Raw genomic sequence first — 24,978 nt, forward strand, 5'->3', positions numbered from 1 at the left:
ATTTTCCACCTTACACCTTTTTGTGGTGTTTGGAACTCTAACTATGATAGTATATAATATTTATAATACTAAACAACCAAAACAAAAACAAATAACATGAACCCTTACATCAAAGAAGGTGTGTGCGGCAAGATTCTGGCAGGGCAGAAAGTGGAGGAACAGGGGCTGGCCCATTTAGCGAAGCGCTTTGCGCCCAGCCCTGGCTCAGTACATTTCTGGTGATGACTTGCCGGGGTTTGGAAGGACCTCAGCTATACAGAACTTTCACGATAATGGTATTTGGTGAATATGGTTACATTTATATATGAACACAGAAAACCAACTACTGCTGGTAAATAGCATGATCACTATTGTTATTATCCAGTGCTGTAAGGACGAGATGCTTTCACCAGCAGCCGAGTGAGATGAAAGCGCTTTTCCGATCCACCGAATCAGTCCCACTGCAACTGTAAGCTGGAGACCCTCTGGGCCTTGGGAGCTCAGGCTGCCTGGGCAACGCAAGGGAGGACAGGGGCGGAGGGGGAGCCAGGAGGGCCGCACCTGCCTCGCTCGCTGGTCGCCCTCGCTCTGGGATCCGTCCTGCCGGTCCCAGGCTGTTGAGGGCGCCTCCTCAGAGTCCCTGTGGCCCCCGCAGCTTCCCCGGAAGAAACCCGTGCATCCATCGGCTAGCCCAAGCCCAAGCTCCTCCCGGAGCTCCCCGAGCCGGGGCCAGGCCTCCGCCCCTCGGTGCCCGCGCCTGGGCTCCTCCCGCTGCGGGCCGCCCGCCCGGACGCAAGGCACAGGGGGACGCCCCGCCGAGCCGCTGCCCACTGCACCGAGTTTTTCGGAGGCTGGGAGAGGAAATGCCACTTGGATTTTAAAACCGTCACCGATACGCTATAGGTGAATATTTCGCTGGGATTTTAAAGAGACGAGCTTCAGCCTGCTAAGCCGCGCTCACGCCGCCTCTCCGCCCTGGCCTCCCCGCGTCCGGCTTGGGGCCGGGTCCCTCCCGGGTCAAAGCTACGCCGGGTGCACTGCGGGCTGGGCAGCTCTCCCACTACGCCCAAAGCCCAGGCGGCCGGGACCGCCGTCCCAAAGTCACAAACCACACCCGTGAAGGACGCCCTCCGCAAGACAGAGAGGAGGCTGGGCCTGGGAAGGAACCTCCGGCCCTTCCTCACCATGCAGCCAAGGTGGGCTCCCAGCCCCGTGTTGCCGCCAGCCGCGGCTCCCGTGCGGTTACGGGAGCAGCAGCCCCGCCCCGCCGGCCCCCAGCTGGCTCCTCGCTCGAGGTTTCCTGTCGAGCGCTGCCATCCAGGGCCCGGGTTATCGCGCGTGATCTCCCATCTGAGCTGCTCACACGCTGCCGCCCGCCCCCACTTGCGGTCCCTTGTCCCCGAACCGCACCCGCCCCCAGGCCCCCGCGCTGAGAGACCAGGGCGTGGATCTGCGCCGGGCTCCGGCGCTGGGGGCCGAGGGTCTGGTTTTTAGATATCAAAGGAGCCCGACACCAGGGTCCCCCAGACAGGCAAGGAGAGGGACCCGGCCTGGGGCCTGCCTTCGGTGGTGGGCACAGTGGCCAGGATCGGGCCTGGCTCCGGCTGGCCCGGCACACGAGCACGGCGACAGTGGCAAGACTGGGAGGGCCGGCGCTGCCTCCTTGGGAAGCCCCGGAGAGACGCAACCCTGAGAGGCTGGGCCTTCCCACCCCCCGCCCCCTCCCCCTTCCTCAGATAGCAGGGAGGAAGCGCCAGGGGTCTCTCCGTTCTCACATAGGGGGACTCCAAATGTCGTCAAACCTGCCACTCTCGGAATCAACAGCTGCTTTCATTTTGAGCCCTGTGAGCAAAAGTTTCAGGGCTTTCCTGGCACACATACCCAGTGCATGGAGAGCGCTAAATTTTATCTTCCCTTCTAGAGTGGGACATTCCTGTGTGGAGCTCCGAGAATACATGCCGGCACTGCCTGTGCCTGGGGCTGTGCTGGCTCCCACCCAGCTGCAGGAATGAGGGACCACGGTACGGAGGGAAGTGGCTGAGTTGACAGCCACTGATAGAGCTTTTTCCTGATTGTCTCTGGCTTGAGCTAACCAGGTGGCATGACAAAGTACTTAACAAAAACTACAGATGCAGAGAATTTTGGAAATTTTTAAAAGACAGGAAAAAAGGTGGTTGAGGCAGAAAAAGGTAGTTCTAGAGTGAGAGGGGTTTCTTTCCTCCTCTTGGCTCACAGCAGAGGCCAAGTCCTTAGCAGTGTTTCCAGAGCAGGTGAATGAGACTCTCTGAAGGCCGGCCCAGGGGTCTGCCTTGTAACACGTTCCCCCAGCTTCTCATGTACACCACCACTCTTCGGGGACCACCACCTTCTGGGTTGGATGGGTCTGGAAGATTCTACGAATATATCCAGCCCTACCTGAGCATTTGCAGAAAGCCTGCTCTGTGAGGGAGGGCAGCCCCAAAGCTCTCTGTTGTAGACACAGAACCCAACAGGGACTACTGGTGCCACACTCTATCTCTTCTGTCAGAGAAGCACCCAAGTGAGCCATGACTTTGACATTGCATGGCCATCTTATGTTCATTCCTCAAACTTTGTCATGTTAATGTGTACTCTCTCGGGGACATCATACCTAACACGGCTGCCTGAAGATCTGCTTCGTTTAGAATATGCTAGTGAGGACAGTCCTGGAATTTCTTTGTCTCTTTCCAGCCCTGCTTTCTCTACCTCCAGTCGTTTTCTGAGGACCGGCTTGGTGGGTGCTGATGCCTGCCTGGAAGACCTCACACCCACAGTGTCTTAGAAGATTCTGAAAGCAGTGTGAGGTACCAGCCTGCTTTAGCGCTAGGAGCTGGCATGGTGGGGGTCTCAGGCTGCATCCGCACATTCTCAGCGGTGCTTTTGCTCCTGGAATGGAGCCACAAGCTGCTCTGGGCCATTTAGAGACTCTAAGTGGTTTGCTCAGGGCTATATGGAAGTGGGAGGTGGGGGACCTGGGCGCTCTGTAGCATGCTTAGTCCCCCTGGCAGGGTTAGAGGTTAGTTGACCAGAGACAACGAGTCCAATTCCCAAACAGACCAGAATGACCAGCAAAGGAGAAAAGAACAAGGACACATTGCAGCCAAAATGGAGCTAGAATCTTGCCTCTGTCCATCCTTCACTGGAGTTATCCTGGATGGAGAAGGAACCATATCACCTGCAAAGCCTGGAAGGGGAGCCCTGCTGTGAGGTGAGCCAGTAAGTCTGTGAGTTCAGGAGGGAGCACACGCTTGTCTGTCCATCTGTTCATGAGCAGGCGCTCTTGAGTCTTCCTAAATATTGCCCAGAGCTCTCCATCCAGATACTGTCCTTTCCCTTCCTCTCCATTGATGGTCTCCAAGCCTTTCTTAGCTTTCATCTTCCCCTAAGGATTCCTTCTCCCAAAGCTCCAGCCCATTCCAATGTCAACTGCATTCGTTGTTTTTGTTACTCTCATTGTGTCAAATGGGTTCTTTCCTATGCAACTAGATTGTAGGTTGCTCCAAGGTAAACACCGTGATTTCTAGTTCCTTTGTTTCTACCACTGCAGGACTGTAGGAAGCCCAGTTGTAGGCATCACTAGGACTCAGTAATTACATAATTGCTCAGATAATTGAGAGAATGATTGATTGATTAGTGGTCATTAATGCCATAAAATGAAGGAATTTCGCCCCTCACATTTTCAAGAACCTATGAGTTCGAAGAGACCTGAAAGAACATTTTTATGGGAGCCTACACCAGTGCTATCACCTAAAGTGCGTGACCTTAGGGAAGTTGCTTCACCCCTTGTTTCTGTGCCTCCAAAATACTGGTGTTAATACAGTAATTTCTGATTCCTTCCACCTGTGCCCTGCTCAGCGATCCAGTGTTCAAGCTGGTCATCAGGAGAAAGCTACTTATGATTTCCTAACAAGCCACCACAGAACATCACATTCCCAAACATGCTCTTCACCGTCCCTGCTGTCCCCACGTGCCTAGCCCTGGTGTGGGCAGGAATGAGTGGGATTGGGATGTTTTCTCACAGGTCTTTCTCAGGTGAGGCCCCAGGCTGTGACCAGGCCCCTGCCCTGCATGTGACTCAGGCCTAGCCCCTGCTGGGGCAGGAATGCCACCCAGCACAGCATCCTACTGGTGCCTGAATAAAGAATGGACTGGAGGTTCACCTGAAAGGGGCTGCCAGGTTTCTGCGGGGGCCAGCCAACGGCTCACAATGACCCTGTGTTCGACTCATCTTACGATGAAATTTTTCAGCTTGACGAACTTTTACTCATCTTTCAAGGCTCGGCTCAAATGTTATTTCCCTGGGAAAACTGCGCTACTTTCAGCAAAATGCATTTCCTTTTGATGGGCATCTGTTTTTTTCTTTCTTTCTTTCTTTCTTTTTTTTTTTTTTTTTTTTTTTTTTGAGACAGGGTCTTGCTCTCTTGTCCAGGCTGGAGTGCAGTGGTGCAATCTTGGCTCACTGAACCTTCACAATGGGCATCTGTTTCTGTTCTATGGAGTGACCTAAAAGTCAAGAATCATGGAGAAATTGGGAGCAATGGCTCACGCCTGTAAATCCCAGCACTTTGGGAGGCTGAGGCAGGCGGATCACTTGAGGCCAGGAGTTCGAGACCAGCCTGGCCAACATGGTGAAACCCCGTCTCTACTAAAAATACAAAAAAAAAAAAATCTGTTAGCTGAGCACTGTGGCGTGCGCCTGTTATCCCAGCTACTCGGGAGGTTGAGGCACAAGAATTGCTTGAAGCTGGGAGGGGGAGGTTGCGGTGAGCCGAGATCAAGCCACTGCACTCCAGCCTTGGTGACAGAGTGAAACTGTGTCTCAAAAATTTTAAAAAAAAAAAAATCATGGGGAGAATTTATTGTTAAACAGAATATTAGTTACATTTTCAAATAATACAGTCAATATGTTTTTCTGTAACCTTTAGATATGTTTTCAGGTGAAGTACCTCTAAATGTAAAGAAATGGGTCCAATTGTTAATTTTTTTTAAAGGTTCAAGAAATACACTACTTTCTCTGGCTTTTTCCTTACAACTCTTTTTTTTTTTTTTTTTTTTTTGAGATGAAGTCTTGCTCTGTCACCCAGGCTGGAGTGCAGTGGCATGATCTCAGCCCACTGCAACCTCCACCTCCCGGGTTCAAGCGATTTTCCTGCCTCAGCCTCCTGAGTAGCTGGGATTACAGGCACACGTCACCACACCCGGCTAATTTTTGTATTTTTAGTAGAGACAGGATTTTGCCATGTTGGCCAGGCTTGTCTCAAACTCCTGACTTCAGGTCATCCGCCTGCCTTAGCCTCTCAAAGTGCTGGGATTATAGGCTTGAGCCACTGTGCCCTGGCCTCTTGTACCTTTTTTACATTAACAACTGGACTCGCTTTAAATGTAGAGATACTTCCTGAAATGGTGTGTGAAGGTTGAAGAAAAACATGAGCATATTATTTGAAAATGTGGCTAAAGTTCTGTTTTAAAGTAAGTTTATGGTAATATTTCTAACTTTTCAGATGCTCTGTAGTTCTTGGCACATTTTTCACTAATATTTGGTGACAGGTCTGTCCCCGTTAAAAATTGAGAATTCCACAAAGCCTGGGATATGTTTTATTCTTCTTTGACTCTTCACTCCCCAGCTAACCACCATGCAGTGGGCAATCATAAGGGTTTAATGAATGAATAAATGATCAAGTCAGGTAGGTTTTCCCCGAATTCTTGTCTTTGGGGCTGAACCCAGGGTAGGTTTCCTGGCATCATTCCTGTGTTTTCTACTCTCCCTCCCTAATCCTCTGAAAGTTTGAACAAAAATAAGATTATGGGCCAGGTGTGGTGGCTCACGCCTGTAATCCCAGCACTTTGGGAGGCTGAGGTGGGAGGATGGCTTGAGCCCAGGGGTTTGAGACTAGCCTGGGCAACATGGCGAAATCCCGTCTCTACAAAAAATAGAAAAATTATCTGGGTGTGGTGGTGCGCACCTGTAGTCCCAGCTACTCGGGAAGCTGAGGTGGGAGGATCACCTGAGCCCGAGGAGGTCCAGGCTGCAGTGAACCAAGATCACATCACTACACTCCAGCCTGAGTGACAGAGTGAGACCCTGTCTCAAAAAATAAAAATAAAAATAAAGAAATAAGATTATGACCAAGAGCCGTATGTCTCAGATGTTGAAGGGCAATATACCTGTGCTTCAGAAAAATCTGCCCTGTGTGCCAAAATGTGCAGAAAGGAGAGCCAGCTTCTCAGCTGGCCCCATGCCCCACTACTAACTACTCCCACGGCCTCGGCGAGTTATTTCTTCTTTTTTTAAAAATTATACTTTAAGTTCTAGATGTGAACAACGTGCAGGTTTGTTACATAGGTATACATGTGCCATGTTGGTTTGCTGCACCTATCAAGTCGTCATTTACATTAGATATTCTCCTAATGCTATCCCTCCTCCAGCCCCCTGACCCCCCGACAGGCCCTGGTGTGTGATGTTCCCCGCCCTGTGTCCATGTGTTCTCATTGTTCAACTCTCGGGGAGTTATCTCTGAGTTACTCCTGAGTCTGGGCTGGGAGACACCAGGGGGACAGGGCACACACATTTGCAAGTTTCCTATTCAGGCCATGCTGTCCAGGCAGCCAGAATGAAGCCCAGCCAGAGCCAAAAGGCTTTCCTGGAGGTGTGTTTGTCAGTTTGGCAACCCTTGGTGTGCCCAGCCCACGCGCTGTGAGCATTCGCCTATGACGTACTTTGCGTGGATCAAAGGCCCCACAAAGCCTGCCGTGCCTGCAGCTGCCACGCTGGGGACATGCTGGGGACGTGGGCGATCGTGGGCTGAGAGGCAGACTGCTGGGCTGCCGCCTCCCATGGCAGCTTTCTCCCATGGGAGGGAGTTCACCTTGCGGCTTCCAAACTCAGCCGGGCCGCCCCTAGGCATGTCACCTCTTCTCTTTTTCTCTCTGTTGTCCCATGATTTGGGTCCTCAGGACCTCTCACCTGGACCCAGGGATAAATGAGATCCACTATCAGAGCCAATGGCAGCATCGGCAGCACTCTAGAGCTATTTCTACTTGATTCTAAACCTAGATTTATACTATGTGTAGCCAGCTAGAAATACAGATCTCACTGTAGAAAAGAGACTGGAAGAAATTACAGCAACTGTTAGCAGTGGTTTCATCTCTGGTTTGTGAAATTATGGGTGATTTAAATTTTCTTTATGCTTTCCCTTATTTTCCAAGTTCCATAGTGTATAAGAATATGTAATTTTGAAATAAGAGAAAATAGTCGGCCGGGCGTGGTGGCTCACGCCTGTAATCCCAGCACTTTAGGAGGCCCAGGCGGGCGGATCACAAGATCAGGAGTTCGAGACCACCCTGGCCAATATGGTGAAACCCCATCTTTACCAGAAATACAAAAATTAGCCGGCTGTGGTGGTGGGCGCCTGTAGTCCCAGCTACTCAGGAGGCTGAGGCAGGAGAATCGCTTGAACCTGGGAGGCAGAGGTTGCAGTGAGCCGAGATCACGCCACTGCACTCCAGCCTGGGCGACAGGCTCAAAAAAAAAAGGAGAAAATAGTCAAAGTACATTTTTGATGCCTTGTATTAACCTCCCTTTTGTGTCCCCCACCCTCAAACCTTAGTTGCACTTTAGGTCAATGAATATCTAAATCACTCTGCATTCTTCAGGCACACAGCAGCAGGAGGGAGGTGTGCCTGATAGGATGCTGGATTAAAGATTGGTTCTGACCAATTCACAGAGTATAGGATGCCCACAGGAGGAAAGCTGAATATTTAGCATGGTGTAAGTCTCATGGGACTTGGCCACTGTCACAGGCTAACTGATGCCCAACCTGCATGGAGCCCAGGCCCTCTCCCCACCTGGCTCTCTTCAAGCTTAGGAGGCTCCTCATCCCACTCAGGGTTTAAGATTCTCCTTTGATATTCTAGGACATGGACCAAGTTGGGATTTAGGGTTGCTCTTGGGTTACCAGCCAGCGTCCCTGAAGCCCCTCCCAAAATGTCACTGGGGCCCTGTGACCATAGAAGAGGCCTCTGTGGGCCACACAGTGAGTCCAGCGATGAAGCCAGACCAGTGTGGTTTAGGGAACAGGCCGCAGCAATGGGCAGGAACTCTGGCAAAGCTGTGCCTCCTATGGCTCTCCTCGACACAGAAGTCACAACCCAGGTTGGGGACCTAGGCGTCTCTGCATGTGCCTGTGTAGGAGCCTGTGTGTGTAAACAAGTGTATCTACATACACGAGAACCCAAGGGAGAGAGCTGCACAGGGGGCCTGCCCTGGTCTAAGCCAGAAAAGGAGGAGAACTGTTCCTTTTGGGGGCCGATCCCTGCTGGGAGAGGTGTGCCAGGGTTCCCGCCGCTGGGCCATTTCCCCCACCTGAGTTCTCTCTACAATGTCCAAAGAATGGGACCAGTAAAAGGGGGCCAGGGCAATTCTCCCACCCCCTGGAAAAGTCTGCCCTCCCTCCCTGCAGGCCTGAAGCCCTTCCGGCCCTCATCCTCCCCTTCTCCTGTGTCATCCTGTCTTCAGACTGATACACTCCTTCCCTCTGGTTTTCCTCTCAGTTGTCTCTTCCTTGCATTTCCCTCCTTAATTCCCTCCCACCAGCCTTATTTTTTTCTCCATCATCTGTGCTTGCTCTTCCATCTTTACTCTTGATAGCCTCATTGCCTGTCTCCTCAGATAGCCTTGGGTGCCAGGTTACCTGGCATCCCTGGCCCTAAGAATTTGGGGACTGCTTCTTTTGCTTGATCCAGCTCTCTCTGGAGGATGGGCAGTCGCCGGGCCATCCCAGGAACCCTTCCTGGGTTCTGTTTGTGGCTTTTCTGCGTTGCCACTGAGCATGGGTTGCTCTCGGCTGGTTAGCATAGGAGGTCACACTATCTGTTCTGGTGCAGGAATTGTCCAGGGAATTACAGTCAAGGCTGCAATGTGACCTATGGCCTGGGGCCAGCAAGCCTTTCTTAGTCTCCAGGCAGGCCAGGTACAGACAGCAAACTCAGAAACCCACGATTACATTGGCTGTCCTTTATATTAGCACACCAGGATGCACCCAATTAGCAGTGCTCATTCCTGCCTCCCTTCTGACTTCAAATACCTAAAGCCCCTCATATCTGGAAGCAGAGACCTGAAAAAGTCATCATTTCTTTTTTTAAAAGGAGAAAGGGAGAGGGAGGCTAACACACATACACTTATTCACAAAAAATAAAAGATGGTTTCATGGAGTTAGTCTGCTGGGATATTTAGAATCTAGGTTTGTAACTTGCATCTCCTTTCTCTTGATCCTACATTTCAGCCTCCAATTTAGTGGGAACTTGAACTGAACTGTGCTAATTTATTACTTGGACACCAAAGAGTTATTATTTTGTGGAGGAAAATCAACTTTGAACATTCAAGAAAAAAGACCCCATTGTAATGATTGGTTAGAATTTGATCTGGATCTACATAGATTCATTTTCTAAAACTATTCAATTAAGGATAATGTCAACCTATTGCCTGAATTTAAATCAGCGATTCATTTGGCTAATGAATTTTCCTTTTTCTGTGAGTACCGTGTCCTACGAATTTACAGGGGATGGTCAGAGAAATGGTGACAAAGAAAAGGAGGTTTGTTTGTTTTTAATGTTTTGTTTGCTGACTTAAAAAGCACACAGCCCTGGAAATGGCCTTCTCATTACTCGAGACAATAAAACATCCCAGAAATCCTGACACTGGCTAATAAGACACATGCCTTTAATGACAGCCTCAAAAAGAAGCCCCTACGGTGGAAAGTGTTGTGTGTTTGATTGCGCTAGTTTTACCATGGAATGTGCCAGTTGTGGCTGGAAGTAATTGTCTTTTCAGTGGACAACAATAAAACTGTTTTTAAGTTCTCTTCCTTAGTAAAGCCTAATTTATAAATGGAAATAAGAAGTTTCTAATTTCCCCCAAGCAGATGCCACTCTCCTTGAACTAAAATCACCTTGGGATTGCAGTGGAGTCCAGCATGAAGATGCGGTTTTCCTGCGTTTCCAACTCAGGCTGATTGAAGGCAGCTTATTTGTTTCCCCAAACACTTGGCTCCAAACACAGAGGGCTCCCTGCTGAGTGATGGGTTCCTAAAAACCTGTTTTTCTTCAGGGGAAGATGGGTTTAGTTCCAGTTCTGAACATCTCTAGGGGTTGCTTCCTCCAAGAACGGCTCAGAAATAGTCCCCTAAGGAAACTCCATGGGGAGAAGCTTCCCTCAAACTCAGGACTGGCTGCTTTCTGCTTTGGACAAGGATGCTGGCTCCCAAAACAGGGGCCCAAATAACTTGAATTCTCAAAAGCTATTTTTATCTTTCTCAGCCCCCACTCCTATTCTAAAAGTAGAAAGCTGGGGAAACAGGGTGAGTAGAAGAAGAGGGGTACAAAAAGGATCTACAGAGAATTTTGCCTGTAGTTTTTCTAGCTCTGAAATGCCTGGGGACAGAAGATGACAACACTAACTTGAAACTTCAATTGTCTCTGTTTTAAAGGCAGACACTTTTAATTAGACAAAAGCAAAGGGAAAGAAGAATAGAAGTACAGTTACCGAAAAGGCCCCAAGATCGCACTATTTATCTGCAGTGTGTGCTCTGTAAAAAACAAAAACAAAAACAAAAAACAAATAACAACAAAAAAAAACTGCAGCAACTTTTAGAGAGCCACATAGTATTATTCCAGCTCTTTCTTCCCCTCTGTCTCCATTTTACGTTTATTTCCTTTTTATTGGTTTCACTATCTCTTGCTTTTTCTCTTCTCCCTCCAATACTCAATCTTCCTGTCCATATATTTATTTCTTTCCTTCCTTCCCCACCTCCTTTCTTCTCCTTCAGAGACCTATCCAGACAGAGAATCATGTGTTTACAAGCCTCATACACAGAGTTGTTGGAGAAGGCGCCAGCCCCCTCCCCACCACCCTGCTAGGCCAACCTGCCTCCAGTGGCCAGTCCCTTATAAACTGGAGATCAGTGAGATAGAAAGTCACTCATAGATGCCTTCCACCTTCCTTTTTTTTTTCTTTTTCTTTTTTTTTTTTTTTTTTGAGATGGAGTCCCGTTCAGTTGCCCAGGCTGCTGGAGTGCAGTGGTGATCTCAGCTCACTGCAACCTCCACCTCCCAGGTTCAAGCGATTCTCCTGCCTCAGCCTCCCGAGTAGCTGGATTACAGGCTCCCGGCATCATGCCTGGCTAATTTTTTTTGTATTTTTAGTAGAGACGGGGTTTCACCATGTTGGCCAGGCTGGTCTTGAACTCCTGACCTCAGGTGATCCATCTGCCTAGGCCTCCAAAAGTTCTGGTATTACAGGCGTGAGCCACCGCACCCAGCCCCTTTCTTTCTTCTTCACCTGTAGTGTTGCTCTAGTTTCTTGTAGCTCAGCAACTGGGCAGTGAAAGAATTGGTTTCCCTGAATTATTTGGGGGAATTTATTTATTTCACAGCAGCAGGAATTATTTATCTAGCCTAGGCTGCCAGACACTTCTGAGCATCTAGTCATTTGGAGGTCATTGATGACTGGCCATGCCCCCTCCATATTTCTCTGGCTACAGTTAAAGCAGTTCTTTGAGCAGTCAGCTGGGTGATATTAACTCACTATCTTTTTCCTCTGCTAATTTGAGTGTTCAGATGATGCATGGCCAGGCACATGCACACACTCCTGACAGCAATTGCCAGGGAATATTGCTTTTCTGGACTTTGACACCAGCTCCAACTTTGAGAGGAATTTAAGTGATATTTACTGCATAGAAATTCCTCTTTGGAGCTTTGCTCTTCTGGTTCAGTCTGCTGACAACACGTTAGATTTATTCTGGCATCAACTAGCTGCAGAGCCCAAGACTCAGACTTAATTAACTTTATCAGGGATTTGAGTTGCAACTTTGGAGTTCGAGGCTCAGCACAGATCTCAGTATTACTACCAATCACAGCACTTAGAAGTACCTAAAATCAAACAAATGCACAAACAGAAGAATTCCTCCCCCTTGCACAGTTTTCTGACTATTTGCCAATTAACTCTGATAGCCTTTAGAAAAAAAATCAGTTTGTACTGATCCAAGCTGCTAGATGTTCTGTGTATTAAATGTAAGTCCATTTTAATACTGTACCACATTCGTCTTTTTTTTTTTAAATATTAGAATTTAGAACTAATGTTGTTGGGGAAATTTCCATTTTGAGATAAGCTACAGGATAATTATTGCCTTGTCCTGCTTTTTATCCCCAATTTTTCCCCTCAGTTTTAAGAGTCACCTGAATATTGGAAATAAAATTTAATCCAGTTTCATTTATGAGGAAAAACGTGTGTATGTGTGTATATACATATGGATAGGTACCTATGCAAATGTATTTTCATATGCACATATATACATACGTGTGTGTAATGAATGCCATGCAGCAATTTCAGTTTTCAAGAGCGAGGCCTGTGGAAAGTCAAGTGAGTAAAGACCAGGCAATGTGAGCCCAACAGGCTGGAGCCCCTTGATTAGTTAGTTAACATGCAAAGGCTTCGGGAGGCCTAGCTCCTGTTCTAGAAGTACTTTATCCTCTTCTTTTTTTTTTTTTTGAGACGAAGTCTCGCTCTGTCGCCCAGGCTGGAGTGCAGTGGCGCAATCTCAGCTCACTGCAAGCTCTGCCTCCCAGGTTCACGCCATTCTCATGCCTCAGCCTCCCGAGTAGCTGGGACTACAGGCGCCCGCCACCGCGCCCTGCTAATTTTTTGTATTTTTAGTAGAGACGGGATTTCACGTGTTAGCCAGGATGGTCTCGATTTCCTGACCTCGTGATCCGCCCGCCTTGGCCTCCCAAAGTGCTGGGATTACAGGCGTGAGCCACCGCGCCCGGCCCCTTTATCCTTTTCAGTCCCAGACCTGAACCAGGAGGCAACGGAAGATTTATTACAGATGCTCATTGCGGTGCACTTTTAAAATTTATCGTGGACTCCAAGCTTGTTAACAAAGATTTGCCATTCGCTCCTGGCTAATTTCAAGGTTAACATAATCTGCTTTTCTGCGGCCCTTCATGCAAACGCAGAGTCACCCTGACTCATGAAACCATGCCTTGCTTTCCCACCTGAAAACTCTCATTTTCCATTTGGAACGTTCCAAGGACACAAATTCCAAAGGGGATTTTCTGTTCAACAGATAATTCTGTTGGATTGGATTATTACTACTTTCCAGCCTGCTTCTTTGCCTCGGTGACTCAGAAGATGAGCACTTTGCAGTTAAATAGAAAGCGCTGAACTGTTTACGTTCCCTCCCCAGGACACTAGGGCAGGTTGGTGCAGAGCACAGCCCTAAGCGTTGGGGGCTGGCTGTTAAGAGCAGCCTCTCCTTGGGCTGCTGGCTTTCAGTCATCATTTTGGACAGTTCTGAGCTTCTGCTTTATTATCGGATTTATTTGTCTGTCTGCACATCCCCTGTCATGCTCTCCCCAGCCTCCTAACCCACCCACATGAACCCCAGCACAGTTTGCTCGTATCCCAGTGACCTAGGGCCTCCGTCTGGTCGGTTTAATAACGGTATGGTACTTCTGTGGGCTATTTCCCATCATGGACACTTTCTCATTCCAGACATTTGGTAACAAATAGAAGCATGAGAGGCGTATTACATGCCAGAGTTCTCCAATCCCCTTAGCCAATTCATAATTGACTTTTAAATCATTTAGGCGCAAAAGCAAATAATAATAGCTTCAGTGTTCAGTGGCGAATAAATTCTAGCTCATGAAAACTGAGGGAGAAGGCTTAGACAGTAAAAATTAAATATTTATGAAGATACTACGCTCACACCGACATATAAATGCACATACACATACATTTTAGGCATAGCTATTTATTTTTAATTCTTTATGTGATACCCAATGAGAAAAGATTTCCAGTAAAAAAAAAATGAGGGGAAGATTTATTGCCTCCAAATTAATATAAGAAAACGTCCCTGTAATAGCTGTCCTCCTCCCCCAGTAAAAGGAAAGAAAAAAGATACACAAATATTGAATTGACAAAATTATCTTTTCTCTATTGTGAGAAAGGCAAGTTAATACCCATAAAGAACTTCGCACTCCCTCAGTTGAAGGATGCTCTATAAATACAAAGCATCGTTATAATTTATTATTGAACAGAGTCAATTTTTTCTTCTGAATCATTTTTCAAACCTCTCATAGCTCAGGCCTCTCTGATGGGAGCTCTGACATGAAGCCAAAACACCTCTTCCAGACACAGAGAGACCATCAATCAGTTTAATTCGAAGACTCCTCAAAGTGAGCCTCCTGGTAGCCCAGCAGGAACTGTTTTAGAGTCTTCTTCCTTCAGTTACAGTCAGTGACTTGCATAGAGAGCTCAGGTCACCTGGCTCATCTCAGGCACTCACCAGACACCTGGGAAGGGCTGGTATTTCTACCCTTGATACTTTGCTCCCAGTAAAGGGAAACCAAGGCTGAGAACCCTCACTTTTCTTTACCCACCTTTGTTCTTAGCCCTGCCTTCTGCTAAATTGTAACCAACAAATCCACAGTGGCTAAAATTCCCAGTCATGCAGTCGCTCCTAGACTGAGATGCTCCACCCGGCTGATTTGTTGTGAATTAAGGGAACCAAAAAATAAAGTGCTCTCTTTCCTTCCAAGCAGGGAAAGGAAGCTACATTCCCAAACATAGAGAAGAGCAAACTGCAATAAAAAAAAAAAAAACAGGAGTTCCTACCACTAAAAAATACGTGATCTGTTTTGCTTTGTTTTGTCTTTTTCCTGGAGTGCAGTGGCACAATCTCAGCTCTCTGCAACCTCCACCTCCTGGGTTCAAGTGATTCTCATGCCTCAGCCACCCGAGTAGCTAGCACTACAGGTGTGTGCCACAGTGCCCGGCTAATTTTTGTATTTTTAGTAGAGACAGGGTTTCACCATGTTGGCCAGGCTGGTCTTGAACTCCTGACCTCAAGTGATCTGCCCCCCCTCAGCCTCCCAAAAAGTGCAGCCTCCCAAAGTTTGGCAAGAAGCATTTATACATTTGTGGGACTGAGTCCATTTAAATCGTCCAAATGTCCAGATCCAAACCATGGGCCCACAGAGCTAAGGAGTTGTCTTGGAAGATGGAGACGTATTTGATTTTCAGTTGTAAGATCCAGTTAAACAAGGGAATTCACTGGAGAAGGAAATCGAGTCTTTCCCTGTCCTCTGGCATTGGATTACTTCCCAGTATGCTTAAGTGGTTCTTGTTGATGTTGGGACACTTAACTACACTCATTAAGACAGTCACGGGCATTGACTCTGCATTTTTTAATCTGACATTTTCTGTTTTCCAAGCGATTTTATTTTCAAGAACAATGCAGATCTCCCCTCCTCACCCCTTTTTTTTTCTTCCAATAATTAGGCCTGAAAGCAGAGTGAGAGATAAAGGAAAGTGTTCAAGCAAATGATCTGAGGTTCTAGAATAAATATGTCCTAGTCATTACAGAGCTGTTTGAAAGCCTGTGATTGGCCTCCTATGGTCACTGGGGCACAGCCTCCTTGGATGGCATCTCTGCCTCTCCTAGATGTCTTGGAGAGAATCAAGACTCAGGCCTTGGACCTCTTCTCTAATCTTACACACTTCTTTTGTGATTTCATCTATTCATTCTCGGTACTTTATTTTATTTTATTTTATTTTTTTTGAGATGGAGTCTCACTCTCGTCACCCAGGCTGGAGTGCAATGGTGCGATCTCGGCACACGGCAACCTCCGCCTCCCAGGCTCAAGTGATTCTCTTGCCTCAGCCTCCTAAGTAGCTGGGATTACAGGCTCATGCCATCATGCCCAGCTAATTTTTGTATTTTTAGTAGAGATGGGGTTTCACCATGTTGGCCAGGTTGGTCTTGAACTCCTGACCTCAGGTGATCCACCCATCTCAGCTTCCCAAAGTGGTGGGATTACAGGCATGAGCCACCATGCCTGGCCTTTTCTCAGTACTTTAAAATATCATCCGTATACTGTTGACCCCACCATTTAGATCTACAGCCCCAGTTCTCTCCTGAAATCCAGACTCGAACATCCATTCAATATCTAACGGACAACTCAGCTCTACTTGTCCTAAGCAGAACTCCTTATTTCTCCCCCAGCAAACCTGCCTTTTCCAGGGTCATTGGGTAACATGAGGAAGAATTTGATTTCTCAATCCAAAACTGGGGGAAATATTTTTTTTATTTCCTATATGACTTTTGGGCTTACAGAAGTAAAAATGTTAATTGTAAAAAAAAAAAAAAAAAAAAAAAGAAACAAGGAAAATACAGAAAAGCGTGGAAAAGAAAATAAAAATTAGCCAAAAACCAACCACTCAAACATAATCTTTAACATTTTGCTATATTTTCTTCTAATGTTTTTTTCTACTGCTTTCCTTTTTTTCAAAATTAGGATCATATGTTAGGGTTTGTGTTTGTTTGATTTTTCTTAGTATTACCTATTTTTTGACTATTTTGAGGTATTGCTATGTATAATAATTTACTCAGCTATGCCCTTATTGTTAGAAATGCAGGTTATCGTTGATTTTTAGTATTATAGTGCTGCAGTCAACATCCTTGAACACAAATATTTTATTCCACTGATTATTTCTTTCTTTCTTTTTTTTTTTTTTTTTGAGATGGAGTCTCACTCTGTCACCCAGGCTGGAGTGCAATGGCACAATCTCGGCTCACTGCAACCTCCACCTCCTGGGTTCAAGCAACTCTCCTGCCTCAGCTTCCCGAGTAGCTGGGACTACAGGCGCCCATCACCACGCCCGGCTAATTTTTTATATTTTTAGTACAGGTGGGTTTTCACCGTGCTAGCTAGGATGGTCTTGATTTTCTAACCTCGTGATCTGCCTGCCTCGGCTTCCCAAAGTGCTGGGATTATAGGTATGAGCCACTGCGCTCAGCGTGATTATTTCTTCAGAATAAATTAAGACACATGGAAACATGTACCCTAAAAGACAAATATATTTTTCTGGAAAGTAACTCACCCTTAAATTTAAAGAAAATTGGCTCTATCTTTCTGGAAAGTAATTCAGCTCTAAATTTTCTGGGCTATTTAAACTTAGGGCTGACTTACTTTCCAGAAAGACAAAACCAATTTACATTCAGCAGTTTTTGAGAGACTCTAATTCATTGTGTTCTCACCACACTGGGTATTATCATTAAACAGACACACAGCAAACAAAACAACTCAACCTACCCAGTAAGCAAAAATAGTCTAATTTTAAAATTTGCATTTTTTTGAATAGTAGCAATGTTGAACATTTTTTTCATGTGTTTTCTTCACCCTGTGTATTTCCTATTTTATGAATTGTGTGGTGATGACTTTTGCTTATATTTTGTTTATGTGTTTTAGAGATGGGGGTCTCATTCTGTCTCTCACGCTGGAGTCCAGTGGTATGTTCCTAGCTCACTGCAGCCTTGAACTCCTGGGCTCAAACGATCTTCCAGCCTCAGCCTCCAGGGTAGCTGGAGCTACAGGCATGAGCCACTACACTCGGCTTTATTTTTCTTTTGATGTACCCTCTTACAAAGTGATTTCTTTTTTTTTTCTTTCTGTTTCTTTCTTTTTTTTTTTTTTTTTTTGAGACTGAGTCTTGCTCTGTCACCCAGTCTGAAGTGCAGTAGTGCGATCTCGGCTCACTGCAACTTCTGCCTCCTGGATTCAAGCAATTCTCCTGCCTCAGCCTCCTGAGTAGCTGGGACTACAGGTGACCACCACCACACCCAACTAATTTTTTGTATTTTTAGTAGAGATGGGGTTTCATCAAGTTGGCCAGGCTGGTCTCAAACTCCTGACCTCAGGTGATCCACTCGCCTCAGCCTCCGAAAGTGCTAGGATTACAGGCATGAGCCACTGTGTCCAGCCCTAAATGATTTCTAAGAGCGTGTTACATATTAAGGATTCATCCTTTTCCTATGGTATATACTGTGAATATTTTCCCTCTTTACCATCTACCTTTTATTTGGTGTCTTTGGCACATAGAAGTTGAAATTTAAGTCATCAGATTTTTGCTTAGAAAATCTTTCCTCATTTTGAGATCAAAGATCATTCACTTATATTTTCTTGGGGGTACTATTTTCAATGTCCTGATAAAACGCTCACAATAAAAAAATTAGGAAGTGTTTTAGGCTGCAGTTCAGGTTGGCAGAATTATGCCTATGGCCAAATGTGTTTGTATGCACTCACACACAGTGTGTGCACATGCGGGAAAGCAAGTCTAGCAAAATTTATTTTATCTATTTAAATGCATTACAATTAAGAAAGCAAAATGTGGACTTTTTTTTTCAAGGGGACAGTAACAACGAAGCGAAGAATTCTGTTTCATAGCTGGGTGAGGGAGGGTATTGTTGCACATCTATTAGGATTTTGCTGGCTGTTGAAGTCAGGTCCTACTGCAGATTGTGTATTTATCACAGTTTTCTTTAAAGAAGTAAAATCAAAGTGGGCAAAGGCATCTGTTGGAAGCGCTCTAAATATGCAGATATTCTTGAGGGAGACACAACATTACTAATCTTGTGTCTGACCCTCTTGTGTCTGATCCTGCCACTCCCACACACTGTGAGGGCCTGTTCGGCTTGGTGTCCTCATGGCCTAGTGACCCCCATGGCCTAGAGAGGATTCTTTGTGTGTCCACACCTGTGTTGCCTGCATGAAAGATCAGTGAACATTTGCTAGTGTGTGGAATTCCTTGGCCTTCCCGGCAGCCCCTGCCCACCTGCTCCTCTGGCCTGACCACCTTTGCCCTCCAGCCCACACAAGTATTCTACAGCTGGGGCCTTGAAGGATATCAGATGTCTACTCCTTAGGCGTCTTCTTCAAGTTTTACACACACACACACACACACACACACACACACACCCATCTGTAGTCTTACAGGGAGATCTATTCTGAGGCCTTTCCTTGAAGAGCTGTGGTTCTGTGTTCACACTCCCTCTTACACCCTCTGGGTGGTTCTCTGACCTGAGATAGCCAGCTGTCCCGAGCTGCCCTCCACCGCCCAGGGGGCAAGTGTGGTTTCTCCTGCTCCCTGCTTGCCATCTCCTTCTCTCTGGGCCTTTCTCTCCTCCAAGGCCCATCTGAGGGCAGCTGCAACCTGCATATTGTTTCGAAAATAAGGTTGCTTCCTGCCTACCTGCAGACCACCCACGCCCACAGGCTACTAGGAGAAATGTCATTTAGCCGCGCTCACAGCCAGTGATTCACAGAGCTTCTCGCCAACTCCTTCAACCCCAACTGCAGCTTGAGAATGAGGCGCTGTTATTATTCCCATTAGAAAAAAAAATGGGAAGGAACAGCCCAGACCAAGTTCACACAGCTGGGGAGTTCGTGCAGAACTGGGAGTCCTAGGTCTTTTCTGCTCTGCCACAGGCAAGTCCACGTTCTCTCTTTCAGCCAAGGGTCACTGTGCTCTGCAAGATTATGATGTGTGTCTGGTCAGGGTATAGAAACCCCTCACCTAAGCATTCCTGACTGGAGACCCCCCAGACTTTGAGGAGCTCTCACTGTGAAGGGGAACCCCTTCTTGCACATTGCAGCCCCTCACTCCTTTGCTGGGGGGTTTTACTGGTCACCAGCCTCCTTGTCACACTGACTCACGGATCTGCTAGCTCTGGCCTTGGAAATTAACCACTACACTCTCATCTTCTACTTGGTTGCACCTTGCATATCTGATGGCTGCTCCTGGCCTGTGCCCTTTTGGTCTTCTATGCCGTTTTCATCTTGTACTTGTCTCTGGAGGGCTCTGCCTGCTCTGCACACCCTCTCCCTTCACCACCCCCGGAAGACTAGATAAAGCCGTGTGAACCAGAGATACCCCACTTCCTTCTTCCTAAATATTTCTCTCTGATTTCATTCGCAAGAGAAATCTGCCTAATTATAGATGGATAGAGATACTGAATAGTCTCACTGCCCTCTTTTTCTTCTCCCTGGCTCTGAGTCTGGGGGTGGGGCTGGGAAGGGGGAGCCAGCCTCAGGCAAAGTTACTGCCTGAGACTTTAAAGTCAGATTTTAATCTCCTTAATCTCCTTTCCCTTCCACCCACCCACCAGCACAGTCAACGCATCACTGAGACACCTGCTTGGGTAGGGGTGGGAGGGTAGCGGTAGTGGGGTTAGAGGGTGGCAGAGGCACACTTGTTTGGGGTGTGGGGAGAAAAATTCTGCTTCTGGCCACAGAACCTAACTGGAGGCTCAAAGAGATCTTTTTAGATAACAGTGGCCAGGCAGGAATGATGAGAGTCATGCCACAGAAAAGATCTTTAGTGAAAGACAAGAGCCCTACTTCAGAAAACTGGCTGAGCCCCCGGTCTGGGAAGGAAATGCACACAAATGGGACACCTTGGCCCGCTGAAAGCACAGACACCAGCGAAGACTACTGGACTCAGTTCAAAAAGTATTTGGGAGCCAGCTTGAAGAGGCTCCCACTGGCCAACGATGGAACAACTTGAGCATATAAGAAAAACGACTGCCATGGGTTAAAACTGTCTTTTTTTTTTTTTTTTTTTTTGACGGAGTCTTGCTCTGTCCCCAGGCTGGAGTGCAGTGGTACGATCTCCACTCACTGCAACCTCTGCCTCCCGAGTTCAAGCGATTCTCCTGCCTCAGCCTCCCGAGTAGCTGGGATTACAGGCGCCCACCACCATGCCCGGGTAATTTTTGTATTTATAGTAGAGACAGGTTTCACCAAGTTGGCCAGGCTGGTCTCCAACTCCTGACCTCAGGTGATCCACCCGCCTCAGCCTCCCGAAGTGCTAGGATTACAGGTGTGAGCCACCGCACCCGGCAAAACTGTCAAATATTTTTATGTTCCTACATTTATCACAACCCTAAAACCAACCAACCAACATACTTATTGCTCACCCTTGGAGGATGCTAAGGAACCAAATTATTACTTAACTTTTTACTGGGAAAAAACCCCACCATTTTTATTATAAAATTATCAAACACACATAAGAGTGGAATAGTAGAATGAGCCTCTGTGCACCTGTCGCACAACATCAACGATGATCAGCTCACGGCTCTTCCTGTTTTTCTATATCCCTACCCAGTCCCCTCTCCCCTGGATTATTTTGAATCAAATCACAGGCATCATGTCATTTTATCTATAAATAATAAATCATTATAAATAAAGGGAAGAAATCGAACACTTATCCTGGGCATTTATCAGGGTAACCAAATAGTTAACAAGGGTAAGTTTCTCTCTATAGAAATATTCCAGCAAACAAATGAAAAAGGAAAGATAATCCCTAATGAAATAGAGGCTCTAGGCAATGATTATCAGTGGCTTTTGGTGTCACCAAAAGAAAGAGCAGGACACATCACAAGCCTCCTGAGGAAAGTACAATAACCACCTTGAAATGTTCTTGCTACATTAAACCTGAATCCCATCAACCTCCAGATTCAACAGCCAGTTTAGAAAAAACACAGGAGGCAGAGGAACACGTTAAATGACACCACAGGGATGCAATCAGCAAAAATTCACACTGTGGGAGATTCTGTGGCACAAATAACCTAGCTTCGTACAGTTCAAAGAAATAAAGAGAGGGGTCGGGCTGTGGGGGAAGGAATTCTAGATATGCAAGAGACAGAGAAACTGTCTTTGTTGGATAAAATGAACTGTGAAGTAAAAAACATGAGACAGAGAAATTATTTCAACACCAACTTGATATTTGATGATATTAAGGAATTACTGTAAATTTTGTAGGAGGGATAATGGTAGTATAGTATATATTTTTTTTCTTTAAAGGGTGCTTATCTTTTGGAAATACACACTAACGTATGTATATGTAGTTTATTATATTATTTTCTTTACTTTTCTACATGTTGAAACAGGAAGAGTTGTCCTGGAAAATAGTCCTGGGGTCCCCCTTCAGAAGAAAAGCAGTTGGTGAGAAGTGAAGCGCTATAACATTATGGGTTGAAATGGCGCCTTTCTTGGGCTGCTGACACCTTCTCAGATTCTGCTGAGCTTCCTGAGGGTGGACTCTGAATCTTGGCTTCTCTTATACCCTCTGGTACACCAGGCCCAGGGATGGCCCACTGTGCACTCTCCCCAAGCCCTACCAAGCAAATAGAATGAGCCTTTCAGAGAGCTCTTGGCTCTGTGTCATGTCTTACTTAGCTGCATACTTAATCTCTTAATTTTCTTTCTTTATCTATAAAATAGGACCAATGATTCTTAATTCACAGGATTTTTGTGAGGATAAAATAGTATAATATATAGGATTCTTCTCTGTGATTAAAATAACAATTCATAGTGATAATAATAGCTAGCAGCCAGGTATGGTGGCTCACGCCTGTAATCCCAGCACTTTGGGAGGCCTAGGCGGGCAGATCTCTTGAGCTGAGAAGTTTGAGACCAGCCTGTGCAACATAGTGAAACCCCATCTCTACAAAAAAATAGAAAAATTAGCCAGGCGTGGTGGCACATGCCTGTAGTCCCAGCTACTTGGGAGGCTGAGGTGGCAAAGCTGCAGTGAGTTATGATTGTGCCACTGCACTCCAGCCTGGGCAAGAGTGAGACTGTGTCTCAAAATAATAATAATAATAACATCTAACACATATAGAAGGTTTATTATGTTTCAGGTTCATTCTAAGGGCTTTCTATGCATTATCTCATTTGATTCTCATAAAACCCTATGCCGTATGTTTTATGATTATCCTCATCTCACACGTGTGGAAGTTAAGGGGCAAAGATGTAAAGGTTACAGTGCCAAATTTGTAGTATTTGTTCTTATCATACATAGATGGAAGAGGCTATTGGCCCCACTGTTGTAATTTGAGGGATAGCTGAAAGCTCTCCTCCTGCTGAAAATATTTTTAGATAGAAGCATTTTGGAATCCAAGAGATTACTGTTAAAAGGATATTACTCTGAGAGGGGTGACAAATTAAACCTCTGCCTACCTGGAATGCCTTAATATGAAATTATCAGGTTACTCTCCCTCCTCTATCAGGACCCTTAGAGAAAATAGGAGCGGCTGGGCCAGGAGAAAGCAAAAGGGAGGAAGACGTTAAGAACAAAGCCCATGACCTTGACAATTTTACCTGGAGCCTGCCTTGAGCCCAAATTCCAGTGGTCAGTGCCAGAAGAAAGACAAACAAAGCTGCTTTTCTTTTTTTCCAAACAGACCCAGAGATGGAAGATGGTCCTGACTTGAAAGTGCCATTTGTGTAGTTCCAGTGCCCAGAGCTTCCTTCCTCACTGATCCCTCCTGTGGGCTTGGACTCTGGCACACTGGCTGTGAAGTGTTTTTTGTTTTTTCCTTGAGACAGGGTCTTACTCTGTCACCCAGGAGGCTGGAGTGCAGTGGCGCTCCAGCACAGCAGATCGTAGCTCACTGCAGCCTTGACCTCCTGGGCTCAAGTGATCCTCCCACCTCAGCCTCCCGAGTAGCTAGAACTACAGGTGTGCACCACCACTTTTGGCTAATGTTTTATTTTTTGTGTATATGGAGTTTTACTATGTTGGCCAGGCTGGTCTCAGACTCCTGGCTTCAAGCAATTCCCCCGCCTTGGCCTCCCAAAGTGCTGAGATGACAGGTGTGAGCCACTGTGCCTGGCCTGGCTCTGAAGTCTTGATAATTTCTTGGGATATCTTAGTGCAAAACTTGGAAGCCATATGGAGAAATGCTGGTGCTGATGGGGCAGTTGCTGGCCCTGCTGCCAATCCTGTGACCAGCCCTGGGTCTCCCCTTCTGTCCTGATGACTATTTTGGTCCCCACCAGGATGTCATGAAAGTTCTCAGCCCAGCTGAGCTAAAGCCCTTGGCAACTCTTCCTTTCTTCTGGGCTGTGCTCTGCAGGACCAGGCAAAGAATCAAAAGGCCAGACGAGCCAGACCATAGAGCTGTGAGGGGCTGAAGAATGTGGAGAAGCACTGTGTTTACTGCAGCACAGCTGCTATATGGAAAAGCCAGTGCAGCTCCGGCTACACTGACAGCTGTCTGATGTCTCTCACACACAGATGGAGAGGCTGACCCCAGACTTCCTTGGGCAGGTTACACCACAGCCGTGCATTTGTTTCTAGCTACGCAGTTAATGGGACATGGAAGAACCAGACCTGCCTGAGTACCTAACATGGCAAAGGGCCTTCGGAACATGAAGAATAGCAGAGATAAGAATGTTAAGCTTAGAAAAGACTTGAGGACTTTAAAGCTGCTTTCCTATTTGAAAGGCTGTCTCATGGAAAAGAGATTGGACTTGTGTATGTGTGTGTGTTTGGTGGGGGGCTTCGAGGGTTTGAACAAGGACCAGTGGAACACGGGTCAGATTGGTAGAAGGAAGTTTCACTAAAAACCAATTGGAGAGGCAGTAGTGTGGACAGGAACGCAGAGTCTGGAGTCAGACTATTTGTCTCCAAATCCTACTTTCTGTGCCTCTTACCTTGTCTGTGAAGGCGAGATTAAAAAGTTGTACTTATCTCAAAAAGTTGTTGTGAGGAATAAGTAAATTAATATGGGTAAAATGCTTTAAATAGCTTGGTTCATGCTAAGTACTCAATAAATGTGAGGTGGAAATGGAAACATCTATGATTTGATAAATAAAGGCAGCAAGATTCAAATTGTATATGGTGTAATTCCAATTTTGTTTTTAAAATGCATATTATTTTGGAAGAATACTCGAAGAAAATACCCCAAAATATTCACAGTGGTAATTTCTGAACAGTTGGATTATGAGTGATTTAAAGTATTACAGTTTTTAATATTGCATATTTTCTAGATAAGCATATATTACTTCATAATGGAAAAACATTTTTATTTTGCTCTCTATTTAAAAAGGCATGGCATACCTAAAAATGTAGTGAGATCCTAGTTACCAAAAAAGATAAACCATCCTGTTACTAAAAGTATTCAAACTCACATAGCTAATGGACAGTTGGGTTATTCATACTGTTTAATCCCAACCATGTAAAGAAAGTAGCACGTGAAAATGCAGACTGGAGGGAAACAGGTGGCACTGGTTATGGTTACTCTGGGGATGTGGATGAGAAATTGTTTGTTTCTGTATTCTTTTCTGTACTTTCAGAGT

The 24,978-nt window shown here is 46.2% G+C and overlaps 1 protein-coding gene and 1 long non-coding RNA gene across 14 annotated transcripts in view, besides 4 other annotated features; one reads left to right on the plus strand and one right to left on the minus strand.

The window, feature by feature from the left end:
- Nucleotides 1-24,978, minus strand: part of CD247 (CD247 molecule) — an 87,890-nt gene that overhangs the window by 23,677 nt on the left and 39,235 nt on the right. The window lies entirely within an intron of this gene.
- On the plus strand, nt 353-24,516 carry LOC101928512 (uncharacterized). Of its 8 annotated transcripts, none has more exons than XR_002958381.2 (4): nt 353-1,175; nt 2,689-2,801; nt 3,053-3,205; nt 3,853-4,163. It is a non-coding gene; the product is annotated as an uncharacterized LOC101928512 (long non-coding RNA). The 8 variants fall into 8 exon arrangements; XR_007066724.1 differs by lacking the exon at nt 3,853-4,163 and adding an exon at nt 23,915-24,516 and having other exon boundaries at nt 750-882; XR_002958382.2 differs by having other exon boundaries at nt 750-882.
- Nucleotides 604-713: a silencer, noted in NCBI's record as "silent region_1526". NCBI's record gives its function as "represses an Ori minimal core promoter by ATAC-STARR-seq in GM12878 lymphoblastoid cells {active_cell/tissue: GM12878}" and the evidence as "EXISTENCE:reporter gene assay evidence [ECO:0000049][PMID:35858748]".
- Nucleotides 734-823: a silencer, noted in NCBI's record as "silent region_1527". NCBI's record gives its function as "represses an Ori minimal core promoter by ATAC-STARR-seq in GM12878 lymphoblastoid cells {active_cell/tissue: GM12878}" and the evidence as "EXISTENCE:reporter gene assay evidence [ECO:0000049][PMID:35858748]".
- Nucleotides 914-1,003: a silencer, noted in NCBI's record as "silent region_1528". NCBI's record gives its function as "represses an Ori minimal core promoter by ATAC-STARR-seq in GM12878 lymphoblastoid cells {active_cell/tissue: GM12878}" and the evidence as "EXISTENCE:reporter gene assay evidence [ECO:0000049][PMID:35858748]".
- Nucleotides 1,344-1,573: a silencer, noted in NCBI's record as "silent region_1529". NCBI's record gives its function as "represses an Ori minimal core promoter by ATAC-STARR-seq in GM12878 lymphoblastoid cells {active_cell/tissue: GM12878}" and the evidence as "EXISTENCE:reporter gene assay evidence [ECO:0000049][PMID:35858748]".

This window comes from Homo sapiens, chromosome 1 (assembly GCF_000001405.40).
Source record: "Homo sapiens chromosome 1, GRCh38.p14 Primary Assembly".
NCBI lineage: Eukaryota > Metazoa > Chordata > Mammalia > Primates > Hominidae > Homo > Homo sapiens.